The sequence below is a fragment of the Homo sapiens genome, chromosome 3 (genome assembly GCF_000001405.40).
Source record: "Homo sapiens chromosome 3, GRCh38.p14 Primary Assembly".
NCBI lineage: Eukaryota > Metazoa > Chordata > Mammalia > Primates > Hominidae > Homo > Homo sapiens.
The window spans coordinates 123457487-123476189 of NC_000003.12; the positions used below are offsets into that span (position 1 = coordinate 123457487).

General features: G+C 46.5%; 2 annotated features.

Annotated features, from left to right (window-relative positions):
* Positions 2095–2595: an enhancer, noted in NCBI's record as "H3K4me1 hESC enhancer chr3:123178428-123178928 (GRCh37/hg19 assembly coordinates)". NCBI's record gives its function as "activates a minimal SCP1, AML or CMV promoter by ChIP-STARR-seq in naive H9 embryonic stem cells {active_cell/tissue: H9 hESC(naive)}" and the evidence as "EXISTENCE:reporter gene assay evidence [ECO:0000049][PMID:30033119]".
* Positions 2596–3096: an enhancer, noted in NCBI's record as "H3K4me1 hESC enhancer chr3:123178929-123179429 (GRCh37/hg19 assembly coordinates)". NCBI's record gives its function as "activates a minimal SCP1, AML or CMV promoter by ChIP-STARR-seq in naive H9 embryonic stem cells {active_cell/tissue: H9 hESC(naive)}" and the evidence as "EXISTENCE:reporter gene assay evidence [ECO:0000049][PMID:30033119]".

Genomic DNA, 18703 nt, shown 5'->3' on the forward strand with positions numbered 1-18703 from the left:
AGGTAGAAATGACTCTACAAAGTGTGCCCAACCTCTCCTAGATGTTTACATTTTGAGAGCAAGCCCCATGCTCCAAACTAGAGAGATGACTTACCTTTCCCGCAGGGAACTATCTACTTATTTTCCCTAAGTCAGAGAATAGTTAACAGGATGGCGCATTGGGCATCTTGCGGGCTGGTCATCCATCAGGCAATGGGGCCCAGCATCTTAGCCATCAGGTACAAATGACTGAGTCCCTGGGAACCATCCTCCACTGCAGCTGGGACCCCACCATGAGCTCTGAACTTCAGCCCTCTTACTCTTGACCTTTGGCTTGGAAATCAAGGATGATACGTTTGTAATTAGCCATCTGGGGAACTGGACCCTAGATTTTTCCAGACCCCATCCTTATGTCTAAACCTCTGGGCCTCAGAGAACAGGAAATAAAGAGCTCAGATTGGAGCTGAGGTGGAAATGGCTGATAATACCATGATCTACCACTCTCCCAGGTGTTGACATTTGCATTTTAATGGAGGCGGTTAAGGCCTCCAGTGCAAGGAGTGACTAATATGTTATTTCAATTGCTCCTGGAGGTAGGTGGGAGACCCTTTGTGGCCCAGGGCCTTTTGATGTCCCTCTAGTCACATCACAAGGACTGCACCTGATTGGTAGCTGCCAACCCTTTGGACTCTGATGCCCACATTCTACATTTGATCTTTGTTCCTGTTCTTGATTTTACTTTCCTTCTTGCACTTTTCCTGAATCCTTTTTTACTAAAAGTCTGGGAACATCCCCGTGAGTCATTTATTCTTTCAACATACATAAACTGATTACCCATTTGAAGCAGAAAACTATGCTGGGCACAGCTGAGTGGGGTGAGTAGGGGGCACCTGCGAGGTATGTCAGCAAGATCCACCCCCAGGAAGTCAGAGGTGAGGAATTCACAGAAAGAGCTAGAGAACAGACAGCACAGCAGCAGCAGAGATGGGCCGTGCAGCTTTTGCCAAGTGCTTCTTGAACACTCCAGACAAGAGGGAGTGAATTCATAGAAGAAAAATATTCCATAGGTTGGAATGAGCAAGAAGTCTTTGGGGAGGCTGGGCGTGGTGGCTCCCTCTTGTACTCCCAGCACTTGGAGAGGCCAAGGTGGGCAGTTCGCTTGAGTCCAGATGTTCAAGACCAGCTTAGCGAACATGGCAAAACCCCGTCTCTACAAAAAATAAAAAAATTAGCCAGGCGTGGTGGTGAGTGCCTATAGTCCCAGCTACTCAGGGGGTACTGAGGCAGGAGGATCGCTTGAACCTAGGAGGCAGAGGTTGCAGTGAGCTGAGATGGCACAACTGCACTCCAGCCTGGGTGACAGAGTGAGACTCCATCTCAAAAAAAAAGAAAAATTAGCCAGATGTGGCGGTGCACACCTGTGGTCCCAGCTACTTGGGAGACTGAGGTGGGAGGATCACCTGAGCCTGAGAAGGTCAAGGCTGCAGTGAGCCACAATCGTACCACTGCACTCCAGCCTTGGGCAACAGAGTGAGATCATGTCTCAGAAAAAGGAAGGAAGGGAGGGAGGGAGGAAAGAAGGAAGGAAGGAAGGAAGGAAGGTCAGTCTTCAGGGAATGGAGGTGGTTGGGGTGAGAAGGGGTCTTAAAGTATGCATAGGAGTTGGATATATGAGACTGGGTTGAAAATATCCCACTAGTCTCAAAAAAGCACATACTATATGATCTTGTTTATGTGAAATGTCTAAAAGAGGCAAATCTATAGAAAGTAGATCAGTGATTACCTGTGTCTACAGCCTGGGGGAGGGAAATGGGGAGTCATTGCTAATGAGTACAACAGGGTGGCGAAAAGAGTTCTAGGATTATGGTGATATGGTAAGAGCTTCCATGACTCTGTAAATGTACTAAAAATGAATTCCACACTTGAAACTTATGGTATGTAAATTATATCACAATAAAGCTTTTTTAAAAAAAATTGAGGGAAAAAAGTGGGGTCAAAGAAAAGCGATACTTCAGTAACCCTGCTTCATAAGTATGGAGGAAATATCCTAGTTTTAAGTCCCTCATCTTTTTTACCTTTAAAGTGGGCCTGCATGACTTGTCATGAGGAACAGAACAATAACGTGATGGTCCTTTTCAAATTATTCACCCTTACATAAAATGGGAGGCATTCTTAATAATACCAAATTAATAAGTTTGCCCTTAATAAACCAGGTGTTCATTTATGAGGTTAGCATGGAATGAAATACATCCCCAGGTCTCAAGCGCTTGCATACATTTATGGATGGCTGTGAAAAATATTTTTATGTCTGTGCCGTATGTGTACCAACTCCTCTAGTAGTCTGGGAGATCTGCTCTTTCATCTCTTCTGTGTTCAAAGCGGGGCCCCCAGGGCCATGCAGATGAGGTCTCTGTTCTCAAAGACGTTCCCTCTTTCAGGATTCTGACAGACTACAGCCTGCCTGCCCCGCAGACTGGAGAGCTGCATCCTCCTGCAGGCATGGGTGGTGATTAGAGTGGCCTGGGGAAGCTTGAGTGGTGCCGAGCATTGTTTCTCCCTCAGTGGCCGCTCTGGCCTTGGAGTGGTCCTGCCCAGTCTCTGTGTGGCCAACTCTGAATCTGTGATTGAGGATGGCAAACCAGGCTGTGTTAGAGATCGTGCTGGGGCTGGCTGACCTTCCCCAAACCCGGATAATCTCTCTCCTTGGCAACAGGCTGGGGCACCGGGGGACAGTGACAGATTGTGAAATCCTGTGGCTGGGCTTTCTAGAATTTACTTAAAAAGAGAAAACGGTAACAATACATTGCATTTGTGTCATGCTTTTGGAAACAAAGCAAGCAAGCAGTCTTTAAAAACTGCTCAAGGAGAAAACAGCTTTAGAACTGTCTGGTAGAGAGCAAACCAGGTGGGTAAGAAATGTGTTGTCTTATTCTTCTCCACTCAACAACATTGAGATGCCGAAAGTGTTAGGAGAAATCATTTTATTGGGGGGATGCAGAGAAAGAGAGAATGGGAGTGACTTGATCAAGATCACACAGCATTAGGGGCTGCGTTTGACCTAAACTTCTCGACTTTTTTTATCAGCCCAAAGCAGGCAGGCAGGATGAAGTGGGATGACATTACAGTTCACTTGGTCCACCTGAGAACCTGAGATTCTGGTATGTACACAGCTTGTCTGAGTCAGGTTGTGAACTTGGTCCTTTAGGGCACATGAGAATATGTCTCTGCTTATAGGTCTGAAAGTAATAAGGAAGAGTAGGGTTTGGGGCATGAGAAAAATGGGCATTCTCCTGCAAAGTCATTTGCATTAAGTATCTTTAAGCAAGGCAGGACCAGACTCAACAGATAGGGATGGGTGGGACTGCTTCTGTTGCCTAGGGAAGCTTAGTGGAGTTTGGAGATTTAAAGGTGAGCAAACTCTGACCAGTGGGCCAAATACAGCCCACTACCTATTTTTGTAAATAAAGTTTTATTGAATCACTGTCACACTCGTGTATTTATTGGCTCAGTCTGCTTTTGCTCAGAGATCAGACGGCCCACAAAGACTAAAATCTTTACTATCTGGCCCTTTAAGAAAAATTTGCCGATCCTTGCTTCACACCATACACATAAAAAATTAACTTAAAATTGGGCCAGGCACAGTGGCTTACACCTGTAATCCCAGCATTTTGGGAGGCCGAGGCACACAGATCACCTGAGGTCAGGAATTCGAGAACAGCCTGGCCAACATAGTAAAACCCCCTCTCTACTAAAAATACAAAAATTAGCCAGGCATGGTGGCACATGCCTGTAATTCCAGCTACTCGGGAGGCTGAGGCAGGCGAATCGCTTGAACCCAGGAGGCAGAAGTTGCAGTGAGCCAAGATCTCACCACTGCACTCCAGCCTGGGCGACAGAGCAAAACTTCATCTCAGAAGAAGAGTCCGGGTGCAGTGGCTCACGCTTGTAATCCCAGCACTTTGGGAGGCCGAGGCGGGCAGATTATGAGGTCAGGAGATCGAGATCCTCCTGGCTAACACGGTGAAATTTTTAGTACAAATATTTTGTACTAAAAATACAAAAAAATTAGCCAGGCATGGTGGCAGGAGCCTGTAGTCCCAGCTACTCGGGAGGCTGAGGCAGGAGAATGCTGTGAACCCGGGAGGCAGAATTTGCAGTGAGCTGAGATTGCACCACTGCACTCCAGCCTGGGCAACAGAGCGAGACTGCGTCTCAAAAAAAAAAAAAAAAACTTAAAATTGGCCGGGCTTGGTGGTTCATACCTGTAATCCCAGTGCTTTGGGAGGCCGAGGCAGGAGGATCACTTGAGGCCAGGAGTTCAAGACCAGCCCAGGCAATGTAGCAAGATCCCCATCTCTACGAAAAATTTTAAAAATTAGCTAGGCACAGTGGTGCACACCTGTAGTCTCAGCTGCTCAAGAGGCTAAGGTGGGAAGAGCCTGGGAGGTCGAGCTGCAGTGAGCTATGATTGTGCCACTACACTCCAGCCTATGTGACAGAGTAAACCCTGTCCTGCAAAAAAAAAAAAAAAATTTAATTTATTTATTGTAAGTGTAAAATGTAAAACCATAAAATTTCTAGAGGAGCGTGCAGGAGGAAAATCCTTGTAACCTGGAGTTAGGCAACAATTTATTTGATACAACACCAAAAGCAATTTATTATTTTTCAAATTATTCAAATTTTTGATAAACTTTATTAAGAACTGCTCTTCAAAAGAAATTATTAAATGAATGAAAAGATAAGGCACAGGCTGAGAAATTATGAACAGATAACATATCTAATAAAAGATTTGGCTGGGATCGGTGGCTCATGCCTGTAATCCCAGTACTTTGGGAGGTTGAGGCGGATGGATCTCCTGAGGTCAGGAGTTCGAGACCAGCCTAGCCAACATGGTGAAATCCTGTCTCTACTAAAAATGCAAAAATTAACCAGGCGTGGTGGCATGCCCCAGTAATCCCAGCTGAGGTGGGAGAATTGATTGAACCCGTGAGGCAGAGGCTTCAGTGAGCCAAGATCGTGCCACTGCACTCCAGCCTGGCAGCCTGGGCAACAGAGCAAGACCTCGTCTTAAAAAAAAAAAAAAAAATTTATATGCAAAATCTCTAGAAAATGCTCTAAAGTCAGTAACAAGAAAACAACCCAATAAAAAATAGGCAAAAGATTTGAATAACCACTTCATTCAAAATGGGTGAGGATATATGGATAACATATAAGGACATGAAAGGATACTAACATCATTAGTCATTAGGGGAAAGCAAATTGAAATCACAATGAGATACCACTACACACCTATTAGAATGGCTAAACTTAAAGAGTGGCCATACCAAGTGTTGGACAGAATATGAAGCAACTGGAACTCTCATACACTGCTGGTGAGAATGCAAAATGGTACAATCACTTGGAGAAGAGTTTGACAGTTTCTTAAAAAGCAAAGCATACTCATACCATAGAATCCATTATTTTACTCCTAGCCAAGAAAAATGAAAGCATATGAACATATGTCCACAAAAAGACCTATATGCTAATGTTTATAGCAGCTTTATTTGTAACTAGAAATAACCCAGATATCTGTCAACAAGTGAACAGAAAAACAAGTTGTGGTATATTCATGTAATGGAATAATACTCAGCAATAAGAAGGGATGAACTACTGATAAATAACAACATGAATGGCTCTCAGTTATAACTATCCTGAGTAGAAAAAGCCAGACACAAAAGGAGTACATACTGTATTATTCTATTTATTAAAAATTCTAAAAAATGCAAACGAATTCTGTAGGGATAAAAGCAGATTGGTGGTTCCCTGGGGATGGCAGGGAGCAAGGAAGAGCAGAAGGGCTTGATTGCAAAGGGACACATGGAATTTGGGGGGTAATGGATATTCATTATCCTCATTGTGGTGATGATTTCATAGGGGCATGTGTATGTTTGTATAATGTCAAAAGTTATCAAACTGTTCACCTTGAATGTGTGCATTTTATTGTATGTCAGTTGTGTCTCAATGAAGCTATTTTTTAAAAAAGAAGAAAAAATCCTGATCGTGTCATTTCTTTCTTTAAACACTCTGTGTAGTTTAAGCAGCCAGTCCAACTCCCCAGGCTTTCTGTTTCTTATCTCACCACAGTGGCTAGCTCAGCAGCCACTCTGTCCTCTGAAGCCTTCCCCTTCATTCTAGGTGACCACAGGTGAGATCTGTATTGCCACTATGAGTGATATGGACTACCAGGTGCTATCTCCCAATGTAAATAGAGGATCATTGTTGCCTTCCAATCCAACTAGGTGAGAGAGCCAATCTCAGATGCTCATTTCGTTAAGAGTCTGTTGCTTGCCACCATCCTGGTGTCAAACACTCTATTGGGGAGGGTTAGTCACGGAAAGCAGAATCCACTCTACCTAGTTAAAACAGAAAATAATGTATTAAAAGATGCCGGAGACAAGTTCAAGGAGGAAGTTCTTAGCCATTTCTGCATAAGGGAATTACCTCAGTATGTGAGGAATGATCTGACTGTAGAATGATGCTATCTCCGTTACAGAAGTACCATTTAATGGTGCGTCTCTCCAACACATCATAACTTCCCAAGTCACCTTCTTATCAAACTGCTACTAAAACTCAACTTGGAGCCTTTGATGAATGGCATATTCCAGGTATGGGGTAGGGAAAGGACAAGGTGAACCTGGAATACCTCATTGGGCTAGAAAGCAAAGATGTGCTCAAAGATTGATGGGGACATGTGAAAAGAACATGGGATGATACACATCTGTTAAAATGGATGAAGCAAAACAACAACAATAATAAAAATCTGACAAGGTTGCAAGAAGTGATTCCAGGCTCACTCCAGGATGATTCAGCGAACCAGCCGTCTGATGTAAATGAGACACCTCCCACGGAAGACCTGGACGTGGATCAAAGACAGAGGATCAGCCTCCCTGGGAAATCTTTGAGGAAGCCACCAGGATCGTGTCCTGGTGGAAATCAGGAGTCTTGAGTTCTAGGCTGGCCCTGCTGCTTACCAGCTCGTGCCTACCAAGAGCAAGTCTTTTCCTCCTCAGAGCCACAGGTGTCCGTGTGTGTTAATAAGTGGGAAGGGGTGGACACTAAGAGTTTTCAAACTGTGTTCCTTGAAGCCCAGGACTCCTGGGATTTGCTTTGGGATGCTGCAAGGGCCAGAGGGAACCGGGTTAGGGGAGAGCTGCACCCAGAACAGACCAGCTTTTACCTGCTTTATGTTTGGCAGGTTTCATTCTCAGTTGACAACCTCAGGGGTGCAAAAAAATCAATTCCTTCACTTTCTAAATCTCTAAATTAATTTCCGACTCCCAGAACCCATCCCAGAAGCTAAATGAAGTGTTTACCCCAAATATTCTTTTTTTTTTGTTTTCGAGACAGAGTCTTGTGCTGTCGCCCAGGCTGGAGTGCAATGATGTGATCTCTGCTTACTGCAAACTCTGCCTCCCAGGTTCAAGTGATTCTCATGCCTCAGCCTCCCGAGTAGCTGGAATTACAGGGTATGTCACCACATCCAGCTAATTTTTGTATTTTTAGTAGAGATGGGGTTTTGCCATGTTGGCCAGGCTTGGTCTCGAACTCCTGGGCTCAAGTGATCCAACCGCCTTGGCCTCCCAAAGTACTGGAATTACAGGCATGAGCCACCACACCCAGCTAATTTTTGTATTTTTAGTAGAGATGGGGTTTCACCATGTTGGGCAGGCTGGTCTCGAGCTTCTGACCTCAAGTGACCCGCCCACCTCGGCCTCCCAAAGTGCTGGGATTACAGGTGTGAGCCATCACGCCCATTCAGATATTCTTAGGGTTCTCGGACAAGGGTGCCCACTAACAAGCCACATCTCTGCCCAGTGGCCCCTGTGGGCCCAGCTGTCTCTGCTGATTCTGTGTCACTCCTGAGACATGGGTGCCTTTTGGGAGCTCACCAGTGTCCCCCTGCTTTTCTCTCCTCATCCCACAGCCCCACTCCCCAACCTGGGAAAGCCCTTCCTAGCCTGGGGGAACTCTCCCTTTGTGTTTCTTCAAGACGTTCATTTAGTCTTTGCCAGAGTCCCCATTATGGGATAAATTGTGTCTCCCCCATCCCCAAATTTCGTTTGTTGAAATCCTAACCCCCAGTACCTCAGAACAGACCTTCTTTGGAGATAGATTCTTTACAGAGATAAGTTAAAATGAGGTCATTAGGATTGGGCCTAATCCAATGTGACTGGTGTCCTTATAAGAAGAGGAAATTTGGTCACAGGCATGCATAGAGAAAAGATGATGTGAAGAGATGCGGGGAGTAGACAGCCATCTACAATCCAAAGGAGAAGCCTGGGGCAGATCTGCCCTCACAGCCTTCAGAAGCAGACAACCCTCGTGACACTTGGAGCTAGGATTTCTAGCCCCCCAAGCTGTGAGGCCATCCATTTCTATGATTTAAGCCACCCAGTCTGTGGTATTTTGTTGTTACAACCCTAGCAAACTAATACAGATTCCTTCCCCGTCTTTACCTCTCTTGCAAACCCTCTAAGTTCTCCCAGGTATTACAGGCTATTCCCCTAATGTCTGTTTGAATGGGAGAAAGGGATAGGGAGTAAAATTTAAGTTACTACTTCATAATCTAATTCAGCTACACATACATAAGGTTCCGTTTGAACAGAGGACTAGAAGCTAGAAAGAGTTTTAAAATGACGGTTCGGCTGGGCATGGTGGCTCATGCCTGTAATCCCAGCAGTTTGGGAGGCTAAGATGGGTGGATTGCTTGAGGTCAGGAGTTTGAAACCAGCCTAGACAACATGGTGAAACCCCATATCTACTAAAAATACAAAAATTAGCCAGGCGTGGTGGTGGGCGCCTGTAATCCTAGCTACCTGGGAGGCTGAGGCAGGAGAATCGCTTGAACCAGGGTGATGGAGGTTGCAGTGAGTCGAGATCATACCACTGCATTCCGGCCTGGGCAACTGAGCCAGACTCTGTCTCAAAAGTAAATAAATAAATTAATTAATTAAAAGTGACTGGGTTGATGAGTTGATGAGTGTTATCATTGGGTGATGGGTCTATGGGGGTCAACTGTATTATTCTCCCTACTTTTGTATATATTTGAAAATCTCCATTATAAACTGTTAAGAGGGAAAACAAAAGAGTGAGAAAACATCACTTAGACTAGACGACTCAGGTGTTTCCCACCTCTAGAGTCCATCATGGCATCATCAGTCCCTCTCCTTGTCCCTACCAGCCAGGCTCAGCTGACAGCATCAAGAGCCATCCTCCAGCCCCCACAACCCCCACTGCCACCAGAGCCCATGGCCTTCCTTCTCCAGCTGGGCTTGGTGCAGAGACGTCCGTATCCCCAGGCAGCCACAGCGGAGCAGAGCAGGCATGGCAGCCAGACCCCCAAGTACCGAGCAGACTCCCCAGGCAAAACTTGGCTGCCTCTCTGGGTCCTCCTGAATGGTCCCTGACCCCAGCTCCTCTCTCTCTGACCCCAGCTCCTCTCTCTCTTCTCAGGAGTCATTTTCCCTGAATCCTGTAATACCATTTAAAATATCAAATCACAACTCCAGTGTTACTAATGACCACTCAAATCATTTTTCTGGGACTGCACAGTGGCTCTTGCCCAGGACTTCTCCTCGTTGAAAGCTCTTGTTGACCCCCAACAAGGTCAAAAGCTCCTGTTGACCCCCAACAAGGTCAGGGCAAAAGAACCCATAGAAATAACAGTATTCGTGGCATTTAAAATGAGTTCCAGATACTATTGGTACGAGAGTCACGGGTCACATTACTCCTGGCACTGTAAGGGTCACGTTACTCCTGGCACTGTGGTTAAATAGTTACTAAATAGCAGCCCAATCCTTCTCAACTTCCTTATGTCCCATTTCAGGGGCTACTCTTTAAATAAATATTCCCTTTTAATTCCTCCTCTAAACTCACTTTTTCCTTTAGAACCAACACTAATGTTGAAATTTCCACTAACAAAATGAGAAGAGGAAAATGAGCTTTTCATGGGACTGATTTCATAAAATTTAAGAGACTGTCTTTTTTTTTTTTTTTTAATGATTATCTTCTGACTTTTTCGTCTTAAAATATCTTTTCTGTCCTGACACAGTGGTATCAGCGTGTCATGATGTATCAGTCGGAGTTTAATTGCAGGTACAGCAATCACTCTAACTATTTTAAGCAGAACAGAATTTAACACGGGGATTTAAGACTTTACAACATTATTGGAGGGGCTGGAGGTGCAGACTGAGGCCAGGCTTCTAGGAATGCCTCCCAGCATGGTAGGACTGGTCTGTCAAGAGCCGCACCATTGATGCCAGTGTCAGGAATCTCGGGGGTCAGGAAGCCACTGCCCCCATCTGCCAAGTTCAGGACTGCATCACCAAAATGGATGCTGCAGAATCTGCCTCTTGACATCCACAAAACTAGAGATGGGGCCTGGGCTCTTTGCCATGTCTGCCCCAGGAAAATCAACCATCTCACCTCCAAGCTTTCCAGGAGAAACAGTGGAAGCAGCAAAAGCACAGGCTTGGCCACACTGCTGCCTTGCAAATCTCATGCCAGTGCACCTGCCTGGCAGGGGGCTGGGGTCATGTGTGGACCTGGAGCTGTAAGGCCTGCTGCAGGGGTGCAATGGAGTTGTGTGAACTAATCTGCAAGATCCGCCACTGGTGATAATTTGTTTTCCTTGGCAACATTGTGGCTGATCTGCCATATTATATTCATTTGTGAAATGCAAAATCTGAGAGTGGGAGGTATCAATCCTAAGAGAAGCCCCATCAAGGACAGAAATTAAACTACCTGTATTCATACCAGAATGTCCAGCACATAGGGAAAGGTGCTCCTCTTCACTGTCATCAGGGCAATGCAAATCCAAATCATGATTAAGTCACAACTAAAGTCATCACTCCATACCTTCTAGAATGACTAAAATGAAAAGGAGTGATAATGCCGAGTGTGCACAAGGATGTAGAGCAGCATGTGTATATTATTAGTAACGCTTTGGGGTGCCACAGTGCCTACTAGAGCAATGAGTGTGGGTGACCTCTGACCCAGTAATTCCATCCTGAACCCATCAGAAAAACATGTATGAGAATGTTCATGGCACCACTGCTTATTTATTTATCTATTTATTAAGACAGTGTCTTGTTCTGTTGCCCATCCTGGAGTGCAGTGGCACAATCATGGCTCACTGCAACCTTGACCTCCTGGGCTCAAGCAATCCCCTGCCTCAGCCTCCCAAGTAGCTGGGATCACAGGCACACACCACTGTGCCCAGCTAATTATTCTTTGTAGAGACGGGGTGTTGCTATGTTTCCCAGGCTGGTCTCAAACTTCTGGTCTTAAGTAATCCTCATGCCTCAGCCTCTCGAGTAGCTAGGACTAGAAGTACATTCCACCATGCATGGCAAATTTTTAATTTTTTTTGTAGAGACAGGGTCTCACTACGTTGCCCAGGATGGTCTTGAACTCCTGTCCTCAATTGATCCTCCCACCTTGGCCTCCCAAAGTGCTGGAATTACAAGCATGGGACACTGTGCCCAGTGGCACTGCTGTTTTTAAGAACCAAAAACTGTAAACAACCCAGATGTCCCTCAGCGGCAGGATGAATCAATATATTGGGGTATAGTCACACAGTGGAACTCTACACAGCAATGGGAGCCAACAAACACCACCGAGCAGTAGCACGCAAGAACATCACAGACGTGATGCTGAGCCAGTAAGGACGGGCACGAAGAAGGCACACCATTTGTTTCCATTTATAAACCTCAAGAGCAGGGCCTTAGCAGTTAGCACAGTGGCCCCCCTTGTAGGTGGATGGGAACTGGAAGGGAAAACAAAGGGGGCTTCTTGGGTGTGGATCATGTTCTGTTTCTTGATCTGGATGCTGGTGACACACGTGTGTTCACTCTGTGAAGTTTTGTCTTGCTCTACACTTATGACATAAGTACTTTTAAATATGTATAGATACTTCAATAAAACTGACACAAACCAAACAACTACTTAGCGTCAATCTTCCTTTCTCTGAGCACCCTCCCACTTACACCAGGCTGATGATCACGATGGTTCCATTTATGGAGCACCTGCTGTGTGCCAGGCTCTGCTGATTCTCATGACCTCGGGGCAAGGTGGCAGGATGCTTGCCCCATTTTGTGGGTGAGGTGGCCTTCCCACAGCCCTCCCAATCACATACCCCTGCAGTGCAGCTCACTGCTTCTCCACTGTGCTCGGTCTCTTTTCCTCGTCTGCAGCCTGGGTAAGTGGTCCTTTGCCAAGGATGTGGCAGTTCCCTGTCTCCTCCCCTCTGCTGCTGTCCCCGAGATCCAGGTTGGTAATGCTGAGCAGCTGCCACCATCGCCAAGCACCCCAGAGGGCAACATGTTGTTCCTTGATGACAAGCCTCAGGGAGCCATGCAGTCACTGCCGGCCACACGGGGGTGGTCTAGGATTCTGGAACTTGTTCTTCCCCTTGTGCCAGTCTCTCCTGAGAGAAGTATGGGCGGTGCTTGAGGGATCTGCCAAGCCAGGGCCCACAGGGGCAGGGAGGGAGGGCTTGTACCCAGGACTAGCCCCTTGAGGTTACCTGCACTGCTGCACCATCTCTGGGGAGAGTAGGTTCAGAGCCTCTGGTTAGTCTAAGCCCTTGTACCCCAGATGGCTCATAGAGGACACTCCTGATGTCCTTGGGGAGGACCCTTCCCCAAGCTTTGGGAATATTGTGCAGGTGCATGTGTGTGTCTGGTGTGCTCCCTGAAGGCAGGCACTGCCTCATTCTCCCCTACCCTCAACCTGACACTGGCAGTGCCTGGCATCAGCAGAATGAAAAGAAGTGCCAGGTATGGACAGATGAGATCAAGAAAGACACACTCTCCCTGCCCTCAAGTAGCTTATAGCATTGGTGATGATAGCAACTGACATTAAGTAATTAAATTATTTATTTATTTATTTTGAGACAGAGCCTGACTCTGTCACCCAGGCTGGAGTGCAATGGCACAATCTCAGCTCACTGCAACCTTGGCCTCCCAGGTTTAAGTGATTCTCCTGCCTCAGCCTCCCAGTTTGCTGAGATTACAGGCACCTGCCACCATGCCTGGGCTAATTTTTAGTAGAGAGGGGGTTTTACCATGTTTGCCAGGCTGGTCTTGAACCCTGACCTCAAGTGATCTGCCTTCCTTGGCCTCTCAAAATGCTGGGATTACAGGTGTGAGCTACTGCACCAGGCCCACAACTAACATTTATTGAACACTCACTATTTGCTGAGCACTGTTCTAATTTCTTTTCTTTTCTTTTCTTTTCTTTTTCTTTTTTTTTTTTTTTAGACAGGGTCTTACTCTGTCACCCAGGCTGGAGTGCAGTGGTGCAATCATGGCTCACTGCAGCCTCAACCTCCCAGGCTCAAGCAATCCTTCCACCTTAGCCTCCCAAGAAGCTAGGACCACAGGCATGTGCCACCATGCCTGGCTAATCTTGGAAAATCTTTTGTAGAGATAGGGCCTCTATGTTTTCCAGGCTGGTCTTGAATTCCTGGGCTCAAGCACTCCTCCTGCCTAGCCTCCCAAAGTGCTAAGATAACTGGTGTGAGCCACTGCGCCCAGCTCTTATTTCTTTATAGACATTGTCTCATTGAGGTCTTAAAACAACTCTTTGAGGCAGGTCCTATTGAGTCTCATTTTGCAGACAAGGGAACTGAGACTTAGAAGTTTAAGGGACCTGTGGAAGGCAGCCTCTGAGAGGGCCCTGGCATCCCACCGCCTTGTATTCATGCTCTCATATAGTCCCCCTCCAGTCCAGGGTGGACTCTCTCCTACTGAGCAGAACAGGGCAGAGGTAGTGGGATGCTGCTCCTGAGATTGTTACTCAAAGACTGTGGCCTCCATCCTGGGTGCTTTCCCACTCTCTTGGGTCACTTGCTTCAGGAGAAGCCCTCTGCCGTGTTGCTAGGCAGTCTCATGGCGATACCCTCACGAGTGAGCTTGGACCCCGTTCCTCTCTTAGTTGAGCCTTAAGGTGGCTGCAGCCTTGGCCTGCATCTTGACTGTTACCTCATGAGAGACCCTGAGCCAGAACCACCCAGCTAAGCTGCTCTCAGGTCCCTGCCTGACCCACAGAAACTGGGAGATGGTAAGTGGTTGCTTTAAGCAGGCAAACGCTGGGGTAATTTGTTACATAGTAGTAGACAGCTAACACACTTGTCTGTCCTCACAAGGCCTGTCTCTGATCCTGCTGGAATTTGAAGCCAGTTATGTCTGACCTCAGCATCCATGATTTTTTTAAAAAATTGCAACTTTTATTATAGATTAAAGGGTACACGTGCAGTTTCGTCACTTGGGTAAACTGCATGATGCTGAGGCTTGGGATCTCAACGATCTCATCACCCAGGCAGTAAGCATAGTACCCAACAGGTGGTTCTTCAGCCCACATCCGCCTCCTCCCTCCCCTCTCTAGTGATCCCCAATGCTATTGCTTCCATCTTTTTCATGTGTATTCGATGTGTAGTTCTCACTTATAAGTGAGAACATGCAGTATTGGTTTTCTATTCTTGCATTAGGTCATTTAGGATAATGGCTTCCAGCTCTATCTATGTTGCTGCAAAGGACATGATTTCATTCATTTTTATGGCTGCATGGTATTCCATGGTGCATATGTACCACATTGTCATTGTCAATTTACAGTTGATGAGCACTTAGCTTGATTCCATGCCTTTGCTATTATGAATGGCGCTACAGTGAGCATACAGGGGAATGTGTCTTTTTGATAGAATGAACTTTTTTCCCTTGGGTGTATACCCAGTAGTAGGGCTGATGGGTCGAATGGTGGTTCTATTTTAAGTTCTTTGAGAACTCCAAACTAGAGTCCATGATTATTATTTTTTTTTTTTGAGATGGAGTTTTGCTCTTGTTGCCTGGGCTGGAGTGACCTTAGCTCACTGCAACCTGTGCCTCCTGGATAAAAGTGATTCTCCTGCCTCAACCTCTGGAGTAGCTGGGACTACAGGTGTGCACCACCACGCCCAGCTAATTTTTTGTGTTTGTAGTAGAGACAGCATTTCACCATGTTGGCCAGGCTGGTCTCGAACTCCTGACCTCAAATGATCCACCCGGCTTGGCCTCCCAAAGTACTGGGATTACAGGCGTGAGCCACTGTGCCCGGCCGCATCCGTGCTCTTAACCACTCCCCTATACTGCTTCCCCTGCACAGAAGAAACATAGTCAATGCTGCTTGGACTGAATTGAGACTACCCTGAACTGATAAGAAAGCTGAGGGATGCCTAACCCCAGTAGATTCTTAACCATTCTGGGCCGCAGTTTTCTCATATGAAAGATGAAAATGATAATAATACCTAATTTCATAGGGTTATTGTGAGGAGTAAACAAGTATACAATCATGAAGAAGAAGGTCTTCGAGCAATAACAGCCATTATTAGTATTAGATGAAATGACGTATGCAAACTTTTTTTTTTTTTTTTTTTTGAGGTGGAGTGTCTTGCTCTGTCACCAGGCTGGAGTGCAGTGGCGCAATCTCGGCTCACCACAACCTCCGACTCTCTGGTTCAAGCGATTCTCCTTCCTCAGCCTCCCGAGTAGCTGGGATTACAGGCATGTGCCACCATGCCCGGCCAATTTTTGTATTTTTAGTAGAGATGGGGTTTCATCATGTTGGCCAGGATGGTCTCGATCTTCTGACCTCGTGATCTGCCTGGCTTGGCCTCCCAAAGTGCTGGGATTACAGGCGTGAGCCACCTTGCCCAACCTAATGTATGCAAACATTAAGTGAAATAATACTTGGCTCAAGCTCCTCTGACAATCAGTGTTCACCTTTGCAAAATGGAGATACCAATGTTGTCATTCCTTGCTGTCAGGATTAGATGGACTGGCCCAGTGCCTGGCAAATACTAGAGGCTTAATAAATGGGCCAGGTGCAGTGACTCACACCTGTAATCCCAGCAGTTTGGGAGGCTGAGGTAAGTGGATCACCTGAGGTCAGGAGTTTGAGACCAGCCTGGCCAACATGGTGAAAACCCATCTCTACTAAAAAAAATAAATAAATACAAAAATTAGCCAGGCATGGTGGCAGGCATCTGTAATCCCAGCTACTCAGAAGGCTGAGGCAGGAGAATTGCTTGAATCTGGAGGCTGGAGGTTGCAGTGAACTGAGATCACGCCACTGCATTCAGCCTGGGTGACACAGCGAGACACCATCTCAAAAAATAAATAAATTAATTAATTAATTAAAAAATGGCATCCACAACATGATACGTCAACAGATTTTTTTTTAATTTTTTAATTTTTATTTTTAGAGATGTTGTCCTGCTTTGTTACCCAGGCTGGCCTCTAAATCCCAGCCTCAAGCAATCCTCCCACCTCAGCCTCCCAAAGTGCTGGGATTACAGACGTGAGCCACTGCACCCAACCCATTGACTGATGTTTGAAGGGCGGCACGTGGCAGATGAGTGATCTGTAATAGCTGTTACAGGGCACTGCTATGGATCCTGCTCATCGGAGACATCCCATTTCCCTGCCCTGGAGTCTGGGAGCTGGCTGAAGGTGGAGGGCAGGGTGAGGGTGTGGCATGAAGAGCTTGTGAATCGAGGGACATCTAAGAGGCTTGGCCCTTCCTCTTGGTCCTTGGGAATGTTCTCCTTCAGAGGCCCACAGCAGACCCACTGTGCTGGCTGCTGGCAGGACCCTCGACTCTCCAGTGAAGGGATTATGTTAACAGTCCCAAGAAGGAAATTGATTCCATGAAAATCCCCAATCCCTGGGGCTGGGAAACTTAATGAGTCTCAGCACAAACGAGTCCCCGCCAGTTCTCGTTCCAGTTGGATCTTTCTTGCAATGGCATGGTTTGTGCTTCAAATGTGCTCCAAAAGAAATAAATGAGTAAATAACACAAAAAAGATGGGCCTTACTCTGCAGCCCTATGTGGAAATGTTTGGGAAATTGTGATGACCATCTTTATTCAAAGATTTGGATATTTGTGAAACATGCTTGTATAACTTCTTTTGCCAACTTCTTGTTGAGTTTTTTTGGCATATTGAAGTATGAAATATCACAAAAGGGAAAACAAAAACACGTAGCCCCCAAATGACACTGGAACATACTTATTCAAAAAGTTCATCTGCAGAGCACCCCAAACTTTATCATTTTCACTGAGGTGGATGTGGGCTGTGAACTTAAGGATGGCAAAGGTGAGTTGTAATCTGGCTGGGACAGATCACTTCCCTTCTTGAATTTTCTCATCCACTAAGTATCAGGCTTGGACCTGATCAGTGGTTTTCACACTGGGTTCCTTGAAGCTCCTGGGGGTGCCCTGAAAGGGCTCCCAACCTGTTACATCCATCAGAACTGTTTCCCTTTCATCAGCCTCACATTTTAGAGATGAGATTCTCTAACTGGGAAAAGGGATTTTCCTGCTTAGGAAACAAAGGCTCGAAAGTTTCTTAGATCATCTGTAAGCTCCCGTGAAGTTCTGATACTGTGAGTCTGCGTTCAAAAGAGGGAAAAGGGATTGAAAATGGGATGCAAAGTATAAAGTCAAACTCAGAAAAGAACTTCCTAACAGCAAACAGCATAAGTCTCTGTCACAAGCAACGTGGAAGGAAAGCTGAGGAGTTTTCGTTTGCAGGGCTCTTTGAGGAGAACAGCAGAAGAGTCTGGACGCAGTGAGGAAATTGCCCGTGGCTGGAGGATTCCATGCTCCTGTGAAATTCCTAAGTGGGCCGAGCAATTCCTAAAAGGGGAAAGGCCTTGCAAGCCACAAGGCAAAGTCTACTTTTCACATTTCTTTCCTTCCACCTGGACTTACTCCTCCCATATTTCCAACTCGAGTTGTGCCCTTGACAAATGTTTGCTGAGTGCCTACTACGTGCCTAACGCGATGCGCGTGCTCGGGAGACAGCGCTGAACAAGTCAAGAATCGCTGCCTTCTCGGAGCTTCCCTTCTGAGAGGAAATGAGGCAGAACCGGAACTACTAGCCACAGTCACTTAGGGATGCCTGTGCCAGGACTCAGAGGGAAAAACATAGAGCAACAGAACATTTCCAGGGGAGTCGGACACAGAGGGCTCCTGGGATAGGCTTCCCGGAGAGGTGATGTTTGAGAGAAAACCGGAAAGACAGGTGAGAATTAACCAGGGAGAGAGGGAAGGATCCCTGCAGCGAGTGAGGAGCCCTCTCCAATGAAGGAAGTTATCGGGGCGCCCCAGAGATGGCTTCTCTGATGCACACACATGCTGACCATGCCTTGTGGGTTTAGCTCGTTTACAAGTTCCAGATCAATGAGTTCACTCCCTTGGTTGTCTCACTATCTGGATTAGCTCCCTCCACCTCCTCTAAACCTGCTGCAGACCTGCCTGGCTTTTCTCTGTGGCTCCCTGCCTCCTCCTGTCTTCTTATTTTGGCTGGAACCCGAGGAGTCCATTTTCACATGGTTGTCACTGCAGGGACCAGGGACAGGATACAAAGAACCAGAGAGGGTAAGGAAGGCAGGGGTGAAAAACAAGTGGGTTTCACAGATGAGCAAGCCGCTGGCCCGAGTGGGGGCAGGATGGACCCCATGGGAGTGAACTTGGACACTTGGAGGGGCTTTGAACTTTGGAGCTTCTCCCACCTTTGGAGCCCAGGACCCCTTCCCCAGCCAAGGGAATGACTCCATCCGAGGCTTTTAGAGGCGCCTCTACAGAGCGGGCATGTTCATTGGATATTAGCAGGGTTGCTGTGCTGTGAGACAGCCAGCACGGCAAG